Source organism: Homo sapiens, chromosome 19 (assembly GCF_000001405.40).
Source record: "Homo sapiens chromosome 19, GRCh38.p14 Primary Assembly".
NCBI lineage: Eukaryota > Metazoa > Chordata > Mammalia > Primates > Hominidae > Homo > Homo sapiens.
In genome coordinates this window covers 44,320,521-44,342,278 of record NC_000019.10, presented here as the reverse complement: position 1 = coordinate 44,342,278, position 21,758 = coordinate 44,320,521, and the positions used below count along the sequence as shown (strand labels likewise).

The 21,758-nt window shown below is 38.0% G+C and overlaps 1 protein-coding gene across 7 annotated transcripts in view; it reads left to right on the top strand.

The window, feature by feature from the left end:
• ZNF112 (zinc finger protein 112) overlaps positions 1–15,726 on the top strand; it is a 40,665-nt gene extending 24,939 nt beyond the window's left edge. For 4 of the 7 annotated variants that reach the window (NM_001348282.2, NM_001348281.2, NM_013380.4 and 1 more), the window contains 3 exons: positions 1,737–1,863; positions 5,561–5,656; positions 12,343–15,724. In NM_001348282.2, the coding sequence (NP_001335211.1) occupies positions 1,740–1,863; positions 5,561–5,656; positions 12,343–14,846 (2,724 nt within the window). In that variant the 5' untranslated portion in view covers positions 1,737–1,739 and the 3' untranslated portion in view covers positions 14,847–15,724. Of the gene's footprint in view, positions 1–1,736; positions 1,864–5,560; positions 5,657–12,342 lie in introns of all 7 variants that reach the window. The other 3 variants (NM_001348283.1, NM_001348285.2, NM_001348284.2) reach the window with 3 other exon arrangements.

The window sequence follows — 21,758 nt, the reverse complement described above, 5'->3', positions numbered from 1 at the left end:
AGATGTTTTTGTACAAGAAGAGCTAGATTCTTATATAAGAAGAGCTAGATTCTTCTCAGTACCTATAGCTATGTGTTTATCTATATATGTTTGTATGTCTGTGTGTGTTTCATTATTCATGTATTAATTTTATTAGAGTAATACAGGTACTTAGTTTAAAGTTTTTAGTCATACCATAGGATATATAGGCACTTTGCATCTGTCACACTATTCATGGCCCCAGATGACTGTTGGAGGGGAACTGTAGAGTCGTTTGCACTGTTAAGAGGTTCATGTTCATACAGGAAGATAAGCATTGGGCCAACTCTAAAGCCTTTGCTTTCTGGGCCAAGAGTTTCAGGCATATCACTTGCGTGGAAAGACTTACAAAAAAGCAAAGCAAACCAAAGCAGAGTTCTGCATTCAGAGCTGAAGCTGTTATGCTCAGAACTGCAGCCAGAAGAAATATGGGACTGAACAGTTGTTCATTTAAAAATTTAAAATTACCCTACAGCAAAAAGTTACAAGACAGCAAAGTGGAATGAAAAATATTTACAATGTCCATGGAAGAAAAGACCTCGGTGTCCTCCAAATGAATTATTATTACAAAACAAGAAATCGAGATGAACAGCAAATGTGTGTAAAGAGAATGAACTTTATTACCAATAAGTTTGTGAGAATGTTTTTAATAAATGATTTTTACTTCCCAAATTTACTTGTGAGATTATGAAAGATTTTTTTAAAAAGCTTTCATATCCAGTGTTGACTATGATTTATACTTTCTTGGAAGAAGGCTAAGATGGAAGGCGAAAGTCTGTTTTGGGAAAACACCTGCCATTATGATTTCAGAACTTTAAAGGTCATTATTCTTCAGCATTGCCATTGTTACTTTTTGGTATTTATTTTGAGGAGATAATCAACAGAATTCCAGAGGTTAACGTCAATGCAAAAGATTGTTTTTGCAACATTGTTCGTATAGGTAACCTCAAACTAAGTGTGCATTAGTTGGATCAAATTATTATATTCTAGACCATTAGTTCTCTGAATTACTTTGCAGCCCAGAAATGGGATAGAAGATATAATGAAAATATTAATAATGTAGCTAACATTTGTTGGGTACTTACTGTGTGCCAGGTGCTGTTTTCCATGCTTTACATGTGGTCACTCATTTTATTACTAGGACTGTATGGTATAAGTTTCACCATACAAATGAGAAGATAGGAAACTTGTCCAAGATCATAGAGCTAGCATTGGGCAGAGCGCCCAGATCCAGACACAGGCAGTCAGGCTCCAGAGCTGTGCCCATCACTGCAGCAGTCTCCAGATGAGCACAGAGGATGAGCTACATATTTGAGCAGTAAGGATGACTGATACCCTGTAAATTTGACAAATTAAATAAGTGATGTGTGTGTGTGTAAATGAGGAGAAACAGGTAGCATCAGTCACTGTTAGAACTAAAGCTTTTGTGGAGCAAATGACATTATTATTACAATTTAAAATATTGGTAACCTAGGGTGCAACAGAGTTCCAGAGGCTTACTTATAAGTGCTAACAAAAGGAAGTAATTTCAAAGTGCAAGGATTTCTTTTCTTGCAGCCCTTTTGGTGAATGGTATTAGCATTACAGAAGGTAAACAGAAGAGAACTATGTAAATGTGACTCAAGTTGCCCAGACTCCAGAACAGCTTCCAGTCCTTTACACCTTCTCAGCACTGCCCTTCTTCTGTAAACTTAGTGTGCATGTGTTTGGCATTGTAGGAGATGGTGACATTCAAGGATGTTGCTGTGGTCTTCACTGAGGAGGAGCTGGGGCTGCTGGACTCTGTCCAGAGGAAGCTGTACCGAGATGTGATGCTGGAGAACTTCAGGAACCTGCTCTTAGTAGGTGAGGATAGGTGCCCTTAGTTACTCAATGGCAGCCTCCTGGGGTGTCTTTGTGTGCTCAATTGTTAGAAACTCTGAAGCCCCTGAAATTATTCTCTGAGATTAGGTGCCCGAGAGTCCTAATAATCCCCGTGCAACACAGACAAGATGTTTCTGATGGTTTTGTCCAGTCTATCCTTGGAATAGTAAATATGGTCCTGCTTCATTGATTTGCCATCAAACAGTTTAGTAAGTTGTTCCAGGTTAGTAAGTTTATTTTTCAGGGCACCAGTAACTGTTGATGAACTTGACTTTTTAGAGGGGTTTTTTTAAAAAAACATTATATTTGTAAATAACTTTAAACTCACAGAAAACTTACAAAAGGACAAGAACACCCATATAGATTCGCCAAGATTCTACCTGGATTCACCTCTAATAACATTTTACCCTATTTGCTCTATCATTTATGTTCATGTTCTTTCCCTCTCCATACATACTTATGTATGTATATGAAAAAATATATATAGTCATAATATCTTTTTCTGAACGACTTGAGGGTAAGTTAATATACCATGGCCGTTTTTCTCTAAATACTTCAGTGTATATACAGAGTTCAGGAGTCCCCAAGTTCACTCTCACCTCTGATACCAATTGCAAGATTAGGAGTCCCCAAGACCCAAGAGTACTGAGCCCCACACTCAGGCTCAATAATTCACTAGAAGGACTCACAGAACTCACTGAAAGCAGTTGTCTTCACAGTTAATGATTCATTACAGGGAAAGGAATCAGATTAAAGTCAGCCTAGGGAAGAGGCCCAGGAGGCAGAGTCCAGGAGCGTTCCAGATGTCAGCTTCCACTTGTCATCTTCCGTGGAGTTGTGGACAGCACTGACTTCCCAGCAGTGAAGTATGACAATACGTAAGGAGCATTGCCAGCCAGAGAGGCTCATTTGAGCCTTGGTGTCCAGAGTTTTTACTGGAGCTTAGTTACCTAGATATGATTGACCACCTGGGTGGCTGCTCTTAGATTCCAGTTTCTCCAGAGGTTAAGCTAATACCACATGGCTCAAAGCCCCTACTATAAATCACATTGTTTAACTATCTGGTGTGTGGCCCAAGGCTTCTGGGTAAACGAAAGACACTCTAATCGGGCAGTATATTCCAGGGACTTAGCGATTACCTTCTCCAGAAGCCAAAGGCAAAATCCAGATCTCTCTTTAAACAAAACTAACTCTTTCCTTTACTGCACAGTCTGTTTTATAAAAAGAGGAATATTCTCTTACCTGTTCTCAGGACAGATATAATGTTTTTATCTTATCTATCATTTATGCTGTGATTTTATCCATAAAGCCAATTTTATATATATATTTTTTCTTTTGAGACAGAGTCTCACTCTGTTGCCCAGGCTGGAGTGCAGTGGTGCAACCTCAGCTCACTGAATCCTCTGCCTCCCAGATTCAAGTGATTCTCGTGCCTCAGCCACCTGTAGCTGAGATTACAGGCAACTACCACCATGCCCAGCTAATTTTTATATTTTTATTAGAGATGAGGTTTCACCATGTTGGCCACACTGGTCTCAAACTCCTGGCCTCAGGTGATCCACCTGCCTCAGCCTCCCAAAGTGCTGGGATTACAGGCATGAGTCACCACGACCAGCCTAATTTTATTCTTTAAAGCATATTTTTCTCCCTCCAGAACAGGATCTAGAGTCTAGTATAGTTGTTCTGTCTCTTTAGCCTTCTTTAATTTAGAACATTTCCACAGCATTTCTTTCTCTTTTATGACAGTAACATTTTTGAAGAACGCTATCACCTCTTCCCTTATTTTTAATAGAACATTCCTAATGATTCCACAAAATTAGATTCAGATGATCCATGCAGCAGGAACACTATGTAGGTAGAGTGTGCACTTTTGAGGGAATCACATCTGGAGGCACGTGAAGTCATCTGTCCCTCAAAGGTGGTGTTAACTTTGATTACCCAGTCACGATGTTATGCAGTTTCCCCACTATATAATTACTGCTTTTTTCCCCATTTGTAATCATCGGGTAACACAAGTATTTTCCTGTAGATTAAGCACCTGCTGATGATCTTGCCTTATCTGGTCCTTACCATGACAGTTACAAAATGATGACTTTTCTAACTTTACCTCCTTCCCATTTAGCAGTCAGCACCTGGCATAAACTTGCAGTCAACAAGAGCCCCCCACTTCTCAAGCATCATTTCAATGTTATTTGTAGGGATTTGTGAAATTTTTTAAAGGTTTATAGTTTATTACTGTAATTTTTTAGATGTTAAAATTGTCCCAAGTTTGGCCTCTTTAAGCTGGCTCCTGTGACCTTGTAACATGTCCCCAATTTTTTTTTTGAGCACTTTCTTACTTTGTTGGCAGAGAACAGTATTTTGTGCTCATCTTTACTTTGCCTTGGCTCTGGAATTATCTTTTTTTTTTTTTTTTTTTTTAACTGGGGAATGGTATTTAATGCCAAAGTCTGGATGCTAGGTATGGTCACTGTAGTATCTATGATCTATGTTTCTTTGTCTCAGGACATAGAGCTAGGGTGTGTGTGTGTGTGTGTGTGTGTGTGTGTGTGTGTGTATGTGTATGTATATACATACACATATACACACATAGAAATATGTATACATATGAATAGATGTTCAGTTTATTTCAAAAGAAATGTTCATTACAATTATACTGAAATGCCATTTCTCACCCATGAAATTGGCAAAAATTCAAAAACGTAACACTATACGTTTTTTGGCAAAGCTGTGGGGAATGAAGAACATTCATGCGTTGAAAGGAAGAATGCAAAATGATACAACCCTTAGGGAGGGGAAGTTGACAATATCTAACAAAGCTAGGTATTTACCCTTCCCCGGCAACCCATTTCTGGGGATTTTCCCTAAAAATAGCCATGTCCAAAAGAATATTAATAGTATACTACAATTCATGTAAGAAATAAGGTAAAATAAGTAAATAGACAGTGTGTGGGTACAGACATATATATATAATATATATTATTATATATAAAATATATATTATATATATTATTATATATAAAATATATATAATAATATATATTTTACACATATACAAAATGTATATATATTTTATACATATACAAAATATATATATATTTTATACATATATGAAATATATATAATATATATAAAAATATATGTAATATATAAAAATAATATATATTTTATATATATACTTATTTTTATAAGAAGAAACACAAGAAGGAAGGTTTAATGAAAATAATGGCCAGGCGTGGTGGCTCACACCTGTAATCTCAGCACTTTGGGAGGCCAAGGCAAGAGGATTGCTTGAACCCAGGAGTTCAGGACCAGCCTGGGCAATGCAGGGAGACCCTGTCTCTACAAAAAATTTAGCTGGGCATAATGATGCACACCCATGGTCCCGGCTACTCTGGAGGCCCAGGTGGGAGGATTGCTTGAGCCCAGGGGTTGAGGCTGCAGTTGTAGTGAGCTGTGATCATGCCACTGCATGCTGGCACAGGCAGAAAAGTGAGAGCCTATTTAAAAAAAAAAAAAAGAAAATCATGAAGTTAGTTTCTTATAGTGAGTGGAAGGTAACAGGGTGGAAGGGATGTGGGAGAGAGTCTCACTTGTCTGTGTATACCTTTTTGTCTAGTTTTGACCAATTGAATGTCATCAAACTTAAAAACTTTTGCTGTCCTTTCCTTCTTTACAGCACATCAGCCCTTCAAGCCAGACCTAATATCCCAGCTGGAGAGAGAAGAAAAGCTTTTGATGGTGGAGACAGAAACCCCAAGAGATGGATGTTCAGGTGAGAACTGTGCTGCAGGAACACAGCAGCCAGGGAGCCCCTTCTAGAACATGAGTCAGAACACATCACTTCTCTGTTTAAGCTTTCCTGTGGCTCCCCATTTCACACATAGTAAGTTTAAAGTACTTAAAGTGGTCTATTAGGTCCTAAGGTATCTGTCCCCTCAACCTCTTCTCACTTTCCATATTCACCTACCATTGTTTGTTTTTGCTCATTCAGTCTGTTTCAGAGGCACTGCCCCATGATTGCCCCCTCAGACCTCTCAATTATGCTTCTGTGTCAATTTCCTTGACTTGCTTTTCTCTCTGAATGAATTGGGTAATAGATGCATGATCTTTGCTCTCTTCAATTCACCCTGAGGCAGCTAATAGGTGTAGAATAAATCTGTGTAATTGAAGGGTATTCTAGAATACTGTTTCTCATCTGATGGATGCCTGTTTTAACTGCTTAGCTGTCCTTGAGTATTCATAGATGGGTAGCCATTAATCCTAAAAGATAAGAATAGCCAATCAGCTAAAGTAAGTATCAAAAATGACCAATGCCAACATTATAACTGGTCTTCCTCATGCAGCATTTTCAAGTGAGACACCCTTGTATTCATATGTCCATCTTCTTATCCTCCCATTCTGTCCCATACTCTCGCACCCAAACAATCTCTTGACATAGCCACAGTCTTAAAGTAGAATCTTCAAGTTGGACATTTATGTGAATCCAAACATTTTGATAGTTTCTTGAGTCCTCAAGACTGACATCAAAAGCCACCGTCGCAACTGTGTAGCTAAGGATGCTGCTGGATAAGAAGAAAGAGTCAACAGAAAATTCAAAACAAATTAACTCATTTCTATAATGGTTTGTTTCCATCTTGGTTAAGATTCAGGGTCCTACATGGTACCCTTGAGAGTAGGAGTTAAACTTTTTCTCTAAAGGTCCAAGTAGTAAATACTTTAGATTTTCCTGGCCACATGTGCTCTTTGTCACAGTCTTTGTTTTTCTTACACCACTTTAAAAATGTAGAAAGCGTTCTTGGCTCCTGGGTTGTACAGAAACAGGCCGAGGCCATGCTGTGCCAGTCTACCTTCCTGATACTGTCAGCTGGAACATAATGTCACCTTTTAAAATACCTTAATTTTTTTACCTATACTAACATGATCATATACCTCATATTAATGTAAAAATTTGTTATGTACATTCTTGTTTTTAATATACTAATTTTTCTTCTTTGCCGTTACCTTGGGGAAATCCCTCCCAGTCTAAGATTATAACTCTTGTTTTTGTAATGGATGCATAATACTCTAATAAACAAACTAGTTACTTCCAAGATACAATGGGGCTACAGCCTTTGGGTAAATGCCCCCATTCTGAAAGGGAGAAATCAGGCAAAACAAAGGGGCTGCAGGCCCCATGCCAATCTGAAACCCAGCAGGGCAGTCATTAAATCTCAGAGTTCGAAAATAATCTCCTTTGACTCCATGTCTCACATCCAGGCATGCTGATGCAAGGGATGAGCTCCCAAGGCCTTGGGCATCTCTGCCTCTGTGGCTCTGCAGGGTATAGCCCACTTGGCTATTTTCATGAGCTGGCGTTGAGTGCCTGCATCTTTTCCAGGCACGTGGTGGAAGCTGTTGGTGGGTCTGGGGTCTGGAGGACGGTGGCCCTCTTCTCACAGCTCCACTAGGCAATGCCTCAGTGGGGACTCTGGGGGCTCCAACCCCACATTTCCCTTCTCCATTGACCTAGTAGAGGTTCTCCATGAGGGCTCCACCCCTGCAGCAGACTTCTGCCTGGACATCCAGGTGTTTCTATAAATCCTCTGAAATCTGGGCAGAGGTTCCCAAGCCTCAGCTCTTGCCCTCTGCACACCACAGGCCCAACAGTACGTGGAAGCTGCCAAGGCTTGGGGTTTGCACCCTCTGAAGCAATGGCCTGAGCTATACCTTGGCCCCTTTTAGCCATGGCTGGAACTGGAGCAGCTACAATGCAGGGTGCCGTGTCCTTCAGCTGTAGAAAACAGCAGGGCCCTGGGCCTGAGCCACAGAACTATTTTTCCCTCCTAGGCCTTCAGGCCTGTGGTAGGAGGGACTGTCATGACTGGCTCTGAAATGCCCTGGAGGCATTTTCCCCATTTTCTTGGCTATTAACATTCAGCTCCTCTTTACTTAGGCACATTTCTGCAGCCTTGAATTTCTCCCCAGAAAATTGGTTTTTCTTTTCTACCACATGATCAGGCTGCAAATTTTTCAAATTTTTATGCTCTGCTTCTTTTTTAAATATAAGTTCCAGTTTCAGATAATCTCTTTGCCCATAAATATGAGCATATGCTGTTAGAAGCAGCCAGACCACATCTTGAATGCTTTGCTGCTTAGAAATTTATTCCACCAGATAACCTAAATCATCCCTATCAAGTTCAAAGTTCCACAGATCTTTGGAGCAGAGGCATAATGCTGCCAGTCTCTTTGCTAAAGCATAGCACCAATGTTGGGAAAATGTATAAATGCATTTACAAACCTAAATATATCTAAATATATCACCAGTTCCAGTCCCCAATAACTTCCTCATCTCCATCTGAGACCACCTCAGCCTGGACTTCACTGTCCATATCACTATCCGTATTTTGTTCAAAACCATGTAACAATTCTCTAGGAGATTCCAAACTTTCCCTCATCTTCCTGTCTTCTTCTGAACCCTCCAAATTATTACAACCTCTGCCCATTACCTGTTTCCAAAGTGACTTCCACGTTTTCAGGTATCTTTATAGCAATGCCCCACTTTTCTGGTACCAATTTTCTTTATTCGTCCATTCTCCCATTGCTGTAAAGAACTACCTGAGACCAGGTAATTTATAAAGAAAAGAGGTTTAATTGACTCATGGTTCCATAGGCTATACAGGAAGCATGGCTGGGGAGGCCTCAGGAAACTTATAAATATGGCAGATGGTGAAGGGGAAGGAGGCATGTTTTACATGGCAGAGAAAGAGGAAGAGAAAGAGGGCAGGAAGTGCTACATGCTTTCAAACAACCAGATCTCTTGAGAACTCTGTCACGAGACAGCACTTGGGGGATGGTGCTAAACCATTAGAAAGCACCCCCATGATCCAATCACCTCCCACCAGGCCTCAACTCCAACACTGGGAATTACAATTCAACATGAGATTTGGGTGGGGACGCAGAGCGAAACCATATCAGTGGTTAAGAAAGGAGTCAGCACAGCAGCTTAAATATTTGTGATCAAAACATTGTCACCACTATACCTTGTATTGTCTCTATCTAAAAGCGAAGTAAGAACGGAAGGTGATCTCAGCCTGGGTAACCTGAGCTGATGTTCTCGCTTAGCTTTTATTAAAGAAGAAGAAGAAGAAGACATAAACAAAGATTTTTTTTCTCTGAGTTCATTATAGCTAACTATTAAATTCAAAGGAATTACTTGTCTTTATGACAAATATAGCACCTTTGTTATTGAATTGATCAATTTGGGTTGCTTGAATCATTGACTTTCTCAACCTCTAAGTGCTAAAGCAGGATTGCTATGAAGATGTAATAAATTCTCAACCTTCTTACCTCAAATGATGTCTTCGGCATCTTTTGTCATGCTTAGTTTCTCCATCAAATAAAGTTCATTTATAAACTTAACACAATTTCTTATTACCATTCTACCATTGATATTGAAATAGAACTTAAATGTTGAGTTATTTAAATAAAGTAACAAGGTGTTTCGGTCTATACCATTGACTAAAGGAAATTAATGTTGTTACATGTGTGGTCTTTTTTAGAAGAGTGTGAAACAAAGTGAAATGACCTTTTATTTTTTTTCTTCCTCTATGTCCTTAACATTGCAAAACCCACTGCTCAGAGAGAAACTTTAATCTCATATATTTGAGAGATTTTTATATCATGAATTATGTACTAATTTGCATTGAAACAGTTGCTTTGTGAGAAATTGGGTTTTGACTAACAAGCTACTTTCATGTTCTCAAGCCACTACATCAGTCCCAAAAGACAGGACATATTAAACTGTATCTTTATGGATGTATATTGAGTGTTTTTTATAATAGTAAAACAAAACTACAAGGATTATGATTAACCCTAGCTGGAAGCTCAAACTTCTCACATATAAGCTATATACTTTATCTGATATGCCTCCTATAATATATCCCTTCATTTCATCATTATATGATAAAATATCATTATAATAACTGAAAGCTTCACTTTTGAGAAGGCAAAGACATCAGTAAATGTGCTTTTAAAGTACCAAGATGCATACCTACTGATATACCTTGAAGTGTTATCCCACAATCAGTGTGCTGCCCCAGAGCCTAGTGATACAGATTCATCAGTGTGGCCTTTTCTTTTTTCCTTTTTTAAAAGTTGGGATAGGGTAGGGCTTACGGGTAAGATTTTGTTCAAGAAAAATTACACCATTTTGGGTTTTTTTGAGACAGAGTCTTGCCATGCTGCCCAGGCTGGAGTTGCAGTGGCTGTTCACAGGTGCAATTATATTAATAGGTCACTGCATCCTCAGATGCCTGGGCTCAAGCATTTCTCCTGCCTCAGCTTTCTGAGTAGCTGGGTCTACAGGATTGCGTCACCATGCCTGGCTCACAGTTGTACCATTTAAAAAGTTACTTTAAAAATGAGAAAGACTCAATCCACAGGCCCTGCCTATGGGTCTTTTTGATCTTACATTTTTATTTCATCCACAGTAGATTCTTGTGACCTTTGCTTTTCTCATCAGCAGTATCACTCTGAATTGTCGCCCTACGTCTCCTATAGCCTTTCAGCTTTCCAGCAAAGTTGCCACCATCACCAGTTCCTTTCCCATTTAAAAAGCTACATTACATGCTCTTTTAGTTCTATGAGTGAGAGCAACTCAAACTATGATTTATTCATCAATGTTTATTGAGCAACTACTGTTCACTTGGCAGTGAAAGGAATGCAGTGCACAAAACAGTGTTTGTTTTCATGGATAATACATTCCAGTGTGGAGAGGCAGACAAACACAAAGAAATAAGGCAGAATTATGTTTGAGGGTAATATTCATGAAAAAACATCCCTTTTACTGCTTTTCTTCTGGATATTATAGAGACTTAATCTACTTCTAAGTGTTAGAAGAATGCATGTTATTAATTCAACCCTGTTTAACCAGTTGTCCTTAGGGAGGATATTTGTCACTAGTATATGAAGATCTGCTGTCTGCTTATAATCTGAGCTTTAATAACTAGGTAACTATTTCTACCCAAATATCCTGTCTTCAACCCTTTCTGGTGCCTCAAATTTCCTAAACACTAACATAATTTTCCAGTAAAATGGCACAAGCAAAAGTCAGTATTCATTGAGTTCTGTTCCTGGCTAATGAGCACCTCAGAGGACACCTACAGGTGCCATAATTTTTTTCTGATTTTTTTAGTTGAATTCTGTCACAGTCTTTCACATTTTGACCTACACCATGGCCGTTGATAATTGTGAAATATCTTTTGAAAAGAGTTAAAATCTGTAATGGCCTACAGGGACTTAGAAGAGCTTATTATTCTCTAAGCCCTCTTAGCGCAGCTGGCAGCGCGTTAGTCTCATAATCTGAAGAAGAGCTTATTATTCTCATGAGGATAAATAGCTCATTAGTGACAGGATATGTGATGCCTCAAACATAAAGTAAAAGTCTGTATTTACCTTCTTCAGCATATCATTTAACGCACACAGTACACTTACAAATGAACAACATTATCATGTTTATGTGCCAGACAAAAAAGAAAAACTTATTAGGACAAAAGGCGTTTGTCCATTTGCAACTATATTTTTCCAGTTTTAAGAACATCCTCTTTTCCCCTTCAGATCTCCTGGAAACCCATGATTAATCCATGATAACATGTTTATAGTTGTGTTGTTTTGTTTCGTTTGAGACAGGATCTCATTCTGTTGCCTAGGCTGGAGTGCAGTGGCATGATCTTAGCTCACTGCAACCTCTGCCTCATGGGTTCAAGTTATTCTCCTGCCTCAGCCTCCTCAGTAACGGGGACTACAGGTGTGCAACACCACGCCTGGCTAATTTTTGTACTTTTAGTAGAGATGGGGTTTCACCATGTTGGCCAGGCTGGTCTCAAACTCCTGACTTCAGGTGATCCACCCGACTTGGCCTCCCAAAGTGCTAGGGTTACAGGCATGAGCCACCATGCCCAGCCATGTTTATGGTTTTACTAAGCCTTTTGAACACAGCCATCATGTTCGATGTCCAGGTCGTGCTGCAAAGTCCTGATTTTGAGGCATCAGATATCCTGAATTATGTAGATGCTATTTGTATGTAGGTTAAATATCCCTTCTCCAAAATGCTTGGGACCAGAAGTGTTTTGTATTTCAAATATTTTCAGATTTTAGAGTATTTGCATTATACTTACCAGTTGAGCATCCCTAATCAGAAATCTGAAATACTCCAATGAGTATTTCCTTTGAACATCATGTAGAACATTAAAAAAGTTTTGGATTTTGGAGCATTTCACATTTCAGATTTTTGGATTGAGAATACTCAACCTGTAACTGGTATAGCCAAAGAGGAGATATTTTCTAAGTATTCTTAGAAATAGTGGCATGAATTTTCCTCTGGTTCATTCAAGTTTCATGTTATGACCTAAGTGTAAAATCTTCAAATCTCTTGAATAAAGCATTCACTCGTGCACATCTGAATTCTCTTTATCCTTATAGGAAGGAAGAATCAACAAAAGATGGAGAGTATTCAGGAAGTAACAGTAAGCTACTTTTCCCCCAAAGAGCTTTCCTCCCGTCAGACCTGGCAACAAAGTGCAGGTGGGTTAATCAGGTGTCAAGATTTCCTGAAAGTTTTTCAAGGGAAGAATTCTCAGTTGCAAGAACAAGGTAATTCCCTCGGCCAGGTTTGGGCAGGAATACCAGTTCAGATTTCTGAAGATAAGAACTATATATTCACTCATATAGGGAATGGCTCCAATTATATAAAAAGTCAAGGGTATCCATCTTGGAGGGCACATCATTCTTGGAGGAAAATGTATCTGAAAGAGTCACATAATTATCAGTGTAGATGTCAGCAAATTTCCATGAAAAATCATTTCTGTAAGTGTGACAGTGTCAGTTGGCTCTCACATCACAATGATAAACTGGAAGTACACAGAAAAGAAAACTACAGCTGCCATGACTGTGGAGAAGATATCATGAAGGTATCATTACTTAATCAGGAGTCAATTCAAACAGAGGAGAAGCCCTATCCATGTACTGGGTATAGAAAAGCCTTCAGTAATGACTCCAGCTCTGAGGTTCATCAGCAGTTCCACTTGGAAGGGAAGCCCTATACATACAGTTCATGTGGAAAGGGCTGTAATTATAGTTCACTTCTTCATATTCATCAAAATATTGAGAGAGAAGATGATATTGAGAATTCACATCTGAAATCCTATCAGAGAGTGCATACAGAGGAGAAACCATGCAAATGTGGTGAATATGGTGAGAACTTCAATCACTGTTCCCCTCTTAACACTTATGAACTTATCCACACAGGTGAGATGTCCTATAGGCACAACATTTATGAGAAAGCCTTCAGTCATAGCTTAGACCTTAATAGTATTTTTAGGGTCCATACTAGGGATGAACCCCATGAATATGAGGAAAATGAGAATGTCTTTAATCAGAGTTCATGTCTTCAAGTCCATCAAAAAATCCACACTGAAGAGAAACTATACACAGATATAGAGTATGGAAAGAGTTTCATTTGTAGTTCAAATCTTGACATTCAGCATAGGGTTCATATGGAAGAGAATTCATATAATTCTGAGGAGTGTGGTAATGGCTTCAGTCTGGCCTCACATTTTCAGGACCTTCAGATAGTCCACACTAAGGAACAACCATATAAACGCTATGTGTGTAGTAACAGCTTCAGCCATAATTTATATCTTCAAGGTCATCCAAAAATTCACATTGGAGAGAAACCACGTAAGGAGCATGGGAATGGCTTCAACTGGAGCTCAAAACTTAAAGATCATCAGAGAGTCCACACTGGACAGAAGCCATACAAATGCAATATATGCGGCAAAGGTTTCAATCATAGATCAGTTCTGAATGTTCATCAGAGAGTCCACACAGGAGAGAAACCTTATAAATGCGAGGAATGTGATAAGGGATTCAGTCGGAGTTCATATCTTCAAGCCCATCAGAGAGTCCACACTGGAGAAAAACCTTATAAATGTGAGGAATGTGGGAAGGGGTTCAGTCGAAATTCATACCTTCAAGGCCATCAGAGAGTTCACACTGGAGAAAAACCATACAAGTGTGAGGAGTGTGGGAAGGGCTTCAGTCGGAGTTCACACCTTCAAGGCCATCAGAGAGTCCACACTGGAGAAAAACCATTCAAATGTGAGGAATGTGGGAAGGGGTTCAGTTGGAGCTTTAATCTTCAAATTCATCAGAGGGTTCACACAGGAGAAAAACCCTATAAATGTGAAGAATGTGGTAAAGGCTTCAGTAAGGCCTCAACACTTTTGGCCCATCAGAGGGTCCACACGGGAGAGAAGCCATACCAATGTGATGAGTGTGGTAAGAGTTTCAGTCAGAGATCATACCTTCAGAGTCATCAGAGTGTCCATTCTGGAGAAAGACCATATATATGTGAGGTATGTGGAAAGGGCTTCAGTCAGAGAGCATATCTTCAAGGTCATCAGAGAGTCCACACTAGAGTGAAACCGTATAAATGTGAGATGTGTGGGAAGGGCTTTAGTCAGAGTTCGCGCCTTGAAGCACATCGGAGGGTTCACACAGGAGGGAAACCATACAAATGTGAGGTGTGTACAAAGGGTTTCAGTGAGAGTTCACGCCTTCAAGCACACCAAAGGGTTCATGTGGAAGGGAGACCCTATAAATGTGAACAGTGTGGTAAGGGTTTCAGTGGGTATTCAAGTCTTCAAGCCCATCACAGAGTCCACACAGGAGAGAAACCATACAAATGTGAGGTATGTGGAAAGGGCTTCAGTCAGAGATCAAATCTTCAGGCTCACCAGAGAGTCCACACAGGAGAGAAACCATACAAATGTGATGCATGTGGTAAGGGTTTCCGTTGGAGCTCAGGTCTTCTCATTCATCAAAGAGTCCATAGTAGTGATAAATTCTATAAAAGCGAAGACTATGGTAAGGACTACCCTTCATCAGAGAATCTACACAGAAATGAAGATTCTGTTTTGTTTTGAAGTCCTCAAATGGGAGCTGAAATTTTCCAGTCACTAGAGTTCTTTCAGTAGAAAAAGAATTTTTAAAAATTAAAATGTAATGTTGCTGCCCAACTTCAACATTCATAATGGCCAGGAGACCACACAACAGAGACATTTAATGAGAGGGGTTTCACGAGGGATTTTGTTAGAACTTTAACATCAGTCATTGCACAGGAGCTAAGGCTTATAAAATATGAGTATGGTCAGGAATTTAATAAAAGTACAGTGATGAGCATGCCTAAATCCATGTTCTCTAGAATGTAAGCTTGGTGAAAGAAGGGACTTTGTTCATTGCTAGTCTACAAAACTAGGACATTTCATAACGCAATGTAGGTGCTCAGTACTTTTTGCTAAATAACTAAAAGTATGTAAAGGTAAAAGGTTTGAAATTTTTAAGCGCATTTTTTAAAACTTAAAATGTATTTGGAGGAGAAATCCTGCAAGTAATCTTAATAAAATCATTTCAAGTAAATATTTGAAATGTAGAACAATAAGCATTATGATGATCTGAAATAACATTAATTTGATTGTAACCCTATTGGGGTTAGTTCCCACCCTTTGTTCCATCTTGAGCAGAGATGTGCTGCATTTCTTAACGTTTGGTCTCTATACATTATACCATCTGCTGAAGTTTAGCTTTGTGTGTGTGTATATGTACCCATGTGTGCACTTGAAATATCAGTACAAACTGATAAACAATGTTTCTGGTTAATGTTGCAAAAATGGAACACTGTATTTTACATAATTGATTTTCTACTCCTGCCCTGTGAATTAAGGCAGAGTTTTACTGTAATATTTGCAAGTATCCAAAATGGTTACTGATGACAAATACTTTTTAATAAATGTCAAAATCACAATACTTGGGGTTTTTTTATTCTCCATATTTCTCTAAAAGTCCATTTGATCTGACTGATTTCTAAATGTTGTAGCCTTTGTCCAATCCACACCTCCTTAAGCAGGGTCAAGTTTGAAAGATTTTAATTTTGTCAAGTTTTCCATTCCCATACTTCTCCCACTCACACACAAAAAAAGGGAAAATCTTGAATTTTTCTAAGCATATTTATCAATGTATTGACTAGCAGGATAGGGTTGCCATTTACTTGCTAGTGTCTGTCTTCAAGAATGATGCATTTTGTTGGCGAAAGTGAAAAATACAAGCTTGTCGTTCTATATATATCAAAATACTTATCAAGCCCCCCATATATATCGGAATGTAAAATGTGCATACCGATCTGGAAATCGTAGAACAGTAATTTATAATTAAGCAATTTTAGCAGTAAGAAAGGATTTTACAATGATAGTAATGTTTTAAGCTGGAAGTAAATGTCCATCAATATGAATTTGGGTAAGTTTCTGTATGTTCTATACTATGGATCTACAGAAAGTATGATTTAGCTCTAAAATGACAAGAATGGATCATGCATATTGTTTAGTAAAAACCTGGACTGTACGTTCATAATAGCCAGCTAATTTAAGCCTGTGTGCATGTATGTTCAAATATATGCTTATAGATAATGTGTGAAAGATTACTCATTATTATATCCACAGTAGTTTTCTCTGGAAAGAAATTTTTGGCTTAGTTTTTCTGTGCTTTATTTAAAAATATTTATAATGGACATTTACCAATTACACCAAAGCAGTAAACAGCTATTGATATATTATCTCTTATACTTAAGAACTCATGATATGATTGCTTGATTTCACTGTATGACATTATGACCAACAACAGTAAAGAATAAACCCCCTGAAGTTAGTTCTTAAAATTTCCTGGATTTTTAAGAATACAGATAAATTAGGTGTCCATAACTTTATATTTCTGTGAAATTTCCTTAGGTCTCAAAATCCATGTTGCCTAGGATGTCCTAGTGCAATCCAGTTTTATAAATTGATGCTCACGGCTTTTCCATCAGATTTCCCCTTGCTGGATGAATATGATGACCAAAGCACTGGCATAACTTGGCTTTTGAGGTGCTGGTTCAAGTTGCACAGTATCATCAGAAATCCAGGGCTTCTAAAGCATGTCTTTGATATCATCACTTACAGGGGAGAGCTCATGGTGGTTTTATCAATTGGAATGCTTTTAGTTCTAAGTAACAGAAAATTTAGAGTTGCCTAAACCAAAACTGTTTCTTAGTTCATATAAATGAAAAGATACAGATAGTGTAAGACTAGGGTCTGGGTAAGGTAGGGGGATTTTATATTGCTTTCTTTTAATTCTCTCACCTCTCTTTTCTTGTGAATTCTTGTCTTCATGTTGTTCACAATATAGCAGCATCACCTGCTTTCTTTTCACAGCCGAAGGAAGAGATATTCTGTACCATTTTAGTCCTGTGTGGTTCTGGCTCCCCAAAATGCATAGAATCTCTGACACTCCAATTCCCACTAACAACTGAGACTAACCAAGACAACAAAGGACACCGCTGGTCCCCTAGCCTATTCCTAGTGAGAAGCAACAGCAGGCTACCGTGAGAAAAGGGAAGAACATGGAGAATCTTTCTTGGCCCTGGTGCCAAGGGATGGCCAAAAGCTGAGGATGGGGCAACAGGAACATTGAGAAAACTTTAGCACTCCAGTTCCCACCCTAAGCACAAGGTAACACTAGAGAAATTTGAAGCCATGGTACAACTAAGATAAATATTGCAACAACAAAACCCAATTCCAGCTTGATTCCTGACCAGATTAATTCAGCACTCCACCCTGACATCCTAGCAGAACATGTGTGCCCAGTTTTAGGCAAAAAATAATGTTGTCTTCAGTCTCTACTGTTTTGTATATGTTATCTGGCATTTTATTTTAAAAACACAAGATCAAAAGTTGAGAACAATCTTCTGCCAATAGATAGCAGACCAATCAATAAAACCACACTTATAGATAACCATATTTTGGAACTATTAGGGAATTTTACATAACTGATTGATGTGCTGAAGACTCCAGTGAAAAGGGCAGATAATATGCATGAGCAGATAGGGATTTCAGTAAAATTTAATAGTCAAATGGGAAATGCTAGGAAAAGAAAATTTATGCTACTGCTTTTACTTTTATCAGAATGCTTTTGAAGGACTTATGAGTAGGCTCAACATAGTTGAGAAAAGTGTCAGAACTTGAATATAGGTCAATAGAAATCATGCAAACTAAAACACAAAAAGAAAAAGTGTGAAGAAAACAATACAAATAGGACAACATTGTAGGATCTAATATTTGCATACTTGGAAACCCAGGGTCGGGGGAGAGAATGGGAAGAAAAGATATTTAAAGAGATAATGGCTGAGAATTTTCCAAAAATAATAAGACTTCACCCAGATTCAAGAACGTCAGAATACCAAAGCAGTATTTTTTTAAAAAAAGAACAAAACTAGAGGTATTATTGCCCAATAGCTAAAAATGGATGGACAGTGCAAAGAAAATATTAATGGCAGACAGAGGAAAGGGACACATTACATATAAGAAGCAGAGTGAGAAAAACATCAGACTTATCATCACAAACCATGCAAGCAAAAGACAATGGAGTTACATCTTTAACATTTAGAAACAACAATAAAAAAAATGATCAATCAAAAATCTAAGCCTGGTGGAAAAAATCTTTCAGAAGGTATGCAAAATAAAGGCATTTTCAGATGAACAGAAGCTGATAGAATTCACTGTTAGCAGACCTGCACTGTAAGAGATATTTAGCATACCAGAAATAGACTTGGATCTACCAAAAGACATAACTATGAAAATAGTTATTTCAATCATTTTAAGTGTAAAATAATTTTTATTTTTATTACTCCAAAATATAATTCAGTAAAGCAAAATTAGGAATGAGGTTTTATGAATTTAGAGGACATACAAAAATAAGATGTTTCGTAAGAACACTGCAAAACAGGGAAGACAGAAATTAGAAATATACTAGCAGAAATTAGAGGTATATGGTTGTACTCTATACATGAATTGGCATAATATGATTTGAAGATAGACTGTGAAAAAATACAGGAATATATTTTAAGCCCTAGAGTAACCATTTAAGAATTTTTTAAAGTACATCTCATAAGTCAGTAGTAGAAATTAAATTCTGGTTCCAAAAATAGCAATGTAGAAGCAAGCTGGCTTCACTCCTTTCAATAGAAAACTAAAGACAAATATACAGCACCAAGATTATCACCAGCAATATCCCAGAACTCAAATAGAAGGAGACAGTTCCTGAGGACACAAATAAGTGGAAAAAACTGAGCAGATGATAAGAGAAGTGGACTTTCCTATCCACAGTGCCCTTCCCCCTAATCTGCCTGGTGCCAAGACTGTGGAAAATTTTCCCGTCTCACGGTTTCTATACTGGAAAAAGTTAATCAAGGTGGACAACCAGCCTCCTCCCCATCTTGGGTTTCCTGGCAGGAGACTTGTCCCTGACTCAACCCACAGAAAGCATCAGGAGTAACTGAAGAGAGAAATATCCCTGAGGACAGCCAGAGACAAAGGAGGGAGGTGGGAATACTGTCCCCGTCATGGAAACTCTACTCTGCAACTCAGCCAAAGGAGACAACAATCAGAGTGGCTGTTCAGCATCACTATACTGTAGGTCCCCAATCATGAACCACTAGCCAGCTTTCTTACAACTAGGATATCCCCTATGGGACCTACCCCTTTTGGGATGGGTGGCACTATGATTATTTACTAGAACTGAGGCAAACCTGGAGTTAATAGGCTATCTAGTACCAAAAAGGAGTCAGTAACCTAACGGGAAAGAAGAAAATCAACAGGTAAAATATAAAGAATCTCTAGGGAGCCATATCCAATGAAAAACAAAACCAGCCAGACAGAGAATAGTGGAATGTATAATCATTCGATGCAAAGACAGACACACATCCATAAGCAACAACAGCAAACGGGGAGCCATGGCATCCCACAAATGGACAAAGCAAGGAACCAGTGACTGATCCTAACAGGAAGACGATATGTGAACTCTCTGACCAAGACTTCATAAGAGCTGTTTTAAGGAAACTCAGTGATCTCCAAGATAACACAGAAAAGCAATTCAGAAATGTATCAGAGAACCTGAACAGAGAATAAAATAATTTTTTAAAATCAAACAGAAATCTTGGAACTGAGAAATATGTTTGCTGCACTGAAATATCCATTAGAGGCTCTCAACAGCAGAATGTATCAAGCAGAAGAAAGAATCAGTGAGCTCCAAGACAGGCTATTTGTGAATACACAGTCAGAAGAGAACAGAGAAAGAAAAAGAGCAAATATTGACTGAAAGAGATAGAAAATATCTCAAATGACCAAAACTAAGAATTACTGCTGTTCAGGAGGGAGTTGAGCAAGAGCAAGGAGTAGAAAGTATATTCAACAAAATAACAGAAAACTTTCCAAAATTTAAGAAAGAGATGAATATCCAGGTACAGGGAAATCATAGAACAGCAAACAGATTTGACCCAACTAAGACTACCCCAAAGCATATAATAAACTCTCATAGGTCAAGGAGAAAGAATTATAAAAGCAGCAAAAAAAAAAAAAAAAAAAAAAAAAAACAAGCAAATGACATATAAAGGAGCTCCAATTCATCTGGCAAAAGACTTCTTAACAGAAGCCATATAGGCCAGGAGGAAGTGCAGAGACATTTTCAAAGTGCTGAAATTAAAAAAAAAAAAAAACTATCATCCAAGAATACTGTATCTAGCAAAGTTATCCTTCAAATATGAAGGAGAGATAAAGTCTTTCCAAGATAAACAAAAGATGAGAGAATTTACCACAACAGACTTCTAAGAAAGGTTCAAGGGAGTTTCCAATGTGAAAGAAAAAGCTACTAATGTGCAAAATGAAAGCTTCTGAAACTGTAAAACCCAGTGGTAAAGTTAAGTACACAGACAAACCAAGAATAGTATTGTAATTGTGATGTGCAATCCACTCATAACTAGTATGTAGCCCAAAAGAAATCTATCAAAAAGAATAATAGCAAGAGCAATTTGTTAAGAAATAGGTAATATAAAAATATGTACATTGAGACAACCAAAAATCAAAAGGTGGGACGGATGGGAGTTAAGTGTAGAAGTGTTTCTTCTTTTCATTTTTCTTTGTTTCTATTACTTGTAATCTAAGATAAGTTGTCATCTCTTTAAAATAACCTGTTATATCTATAAAATGTATTTTGTAAGCTTTATGGTAAACACAATACAAAAACCTATAATAGATTCACTAAAAGTAAAAAGCAACAAATTAAAACATACTGTTAACCACAAAGGAAGACAGAAAAATGAAGACTCTTAAATATTTAAGCAAAAAAAGAAGACAGTAAGAAAGGAAGAAAGAAAGGGAGGAGTTACAAAACAACCAGAAAACAAGCAACAAATGGCAGTAGTAAGTCCTTACTAATCAATAATAACACTGAATGTAAATTGACTCATCCTCTGATTAAAAGACATAAAGTGGCTGAATGGATAGAGAAACAAGACCCAACTATATGCTGCCTGCAAGAAACCCACTTCACCTGTAAAGACACACATAGTCTAAAAGTGAAGGGGTGGAAAAAGACATAGCTTGCAACAGGCAACGAAAAAAGAGCAGGAGTAGCTATACTTGTATAAGATACAATATAGACTACAAATCAAAGACTGTAAAAAAGACAAATAAGGTCACTATAAAATGATTAATGGGTCAATTCAGCAAGATGATATAACCATTATAAATATCTATGCATTCAACACCAGAACTCCGAAGTTTATAAAGCAAACATTAATAGATCGAAAATAAGAGATATATGGCAAAATAATAATAGTAGGAGACTTTGACATCCCACTCTCAGCAATGGACAGATCATCCAGACAGAAAATCAACAAAGAAACATTGAAGTTAGGTCACACACTAGACCTAATAGACATAACTGACATTTACAGATCATTTCACCCAATTGCT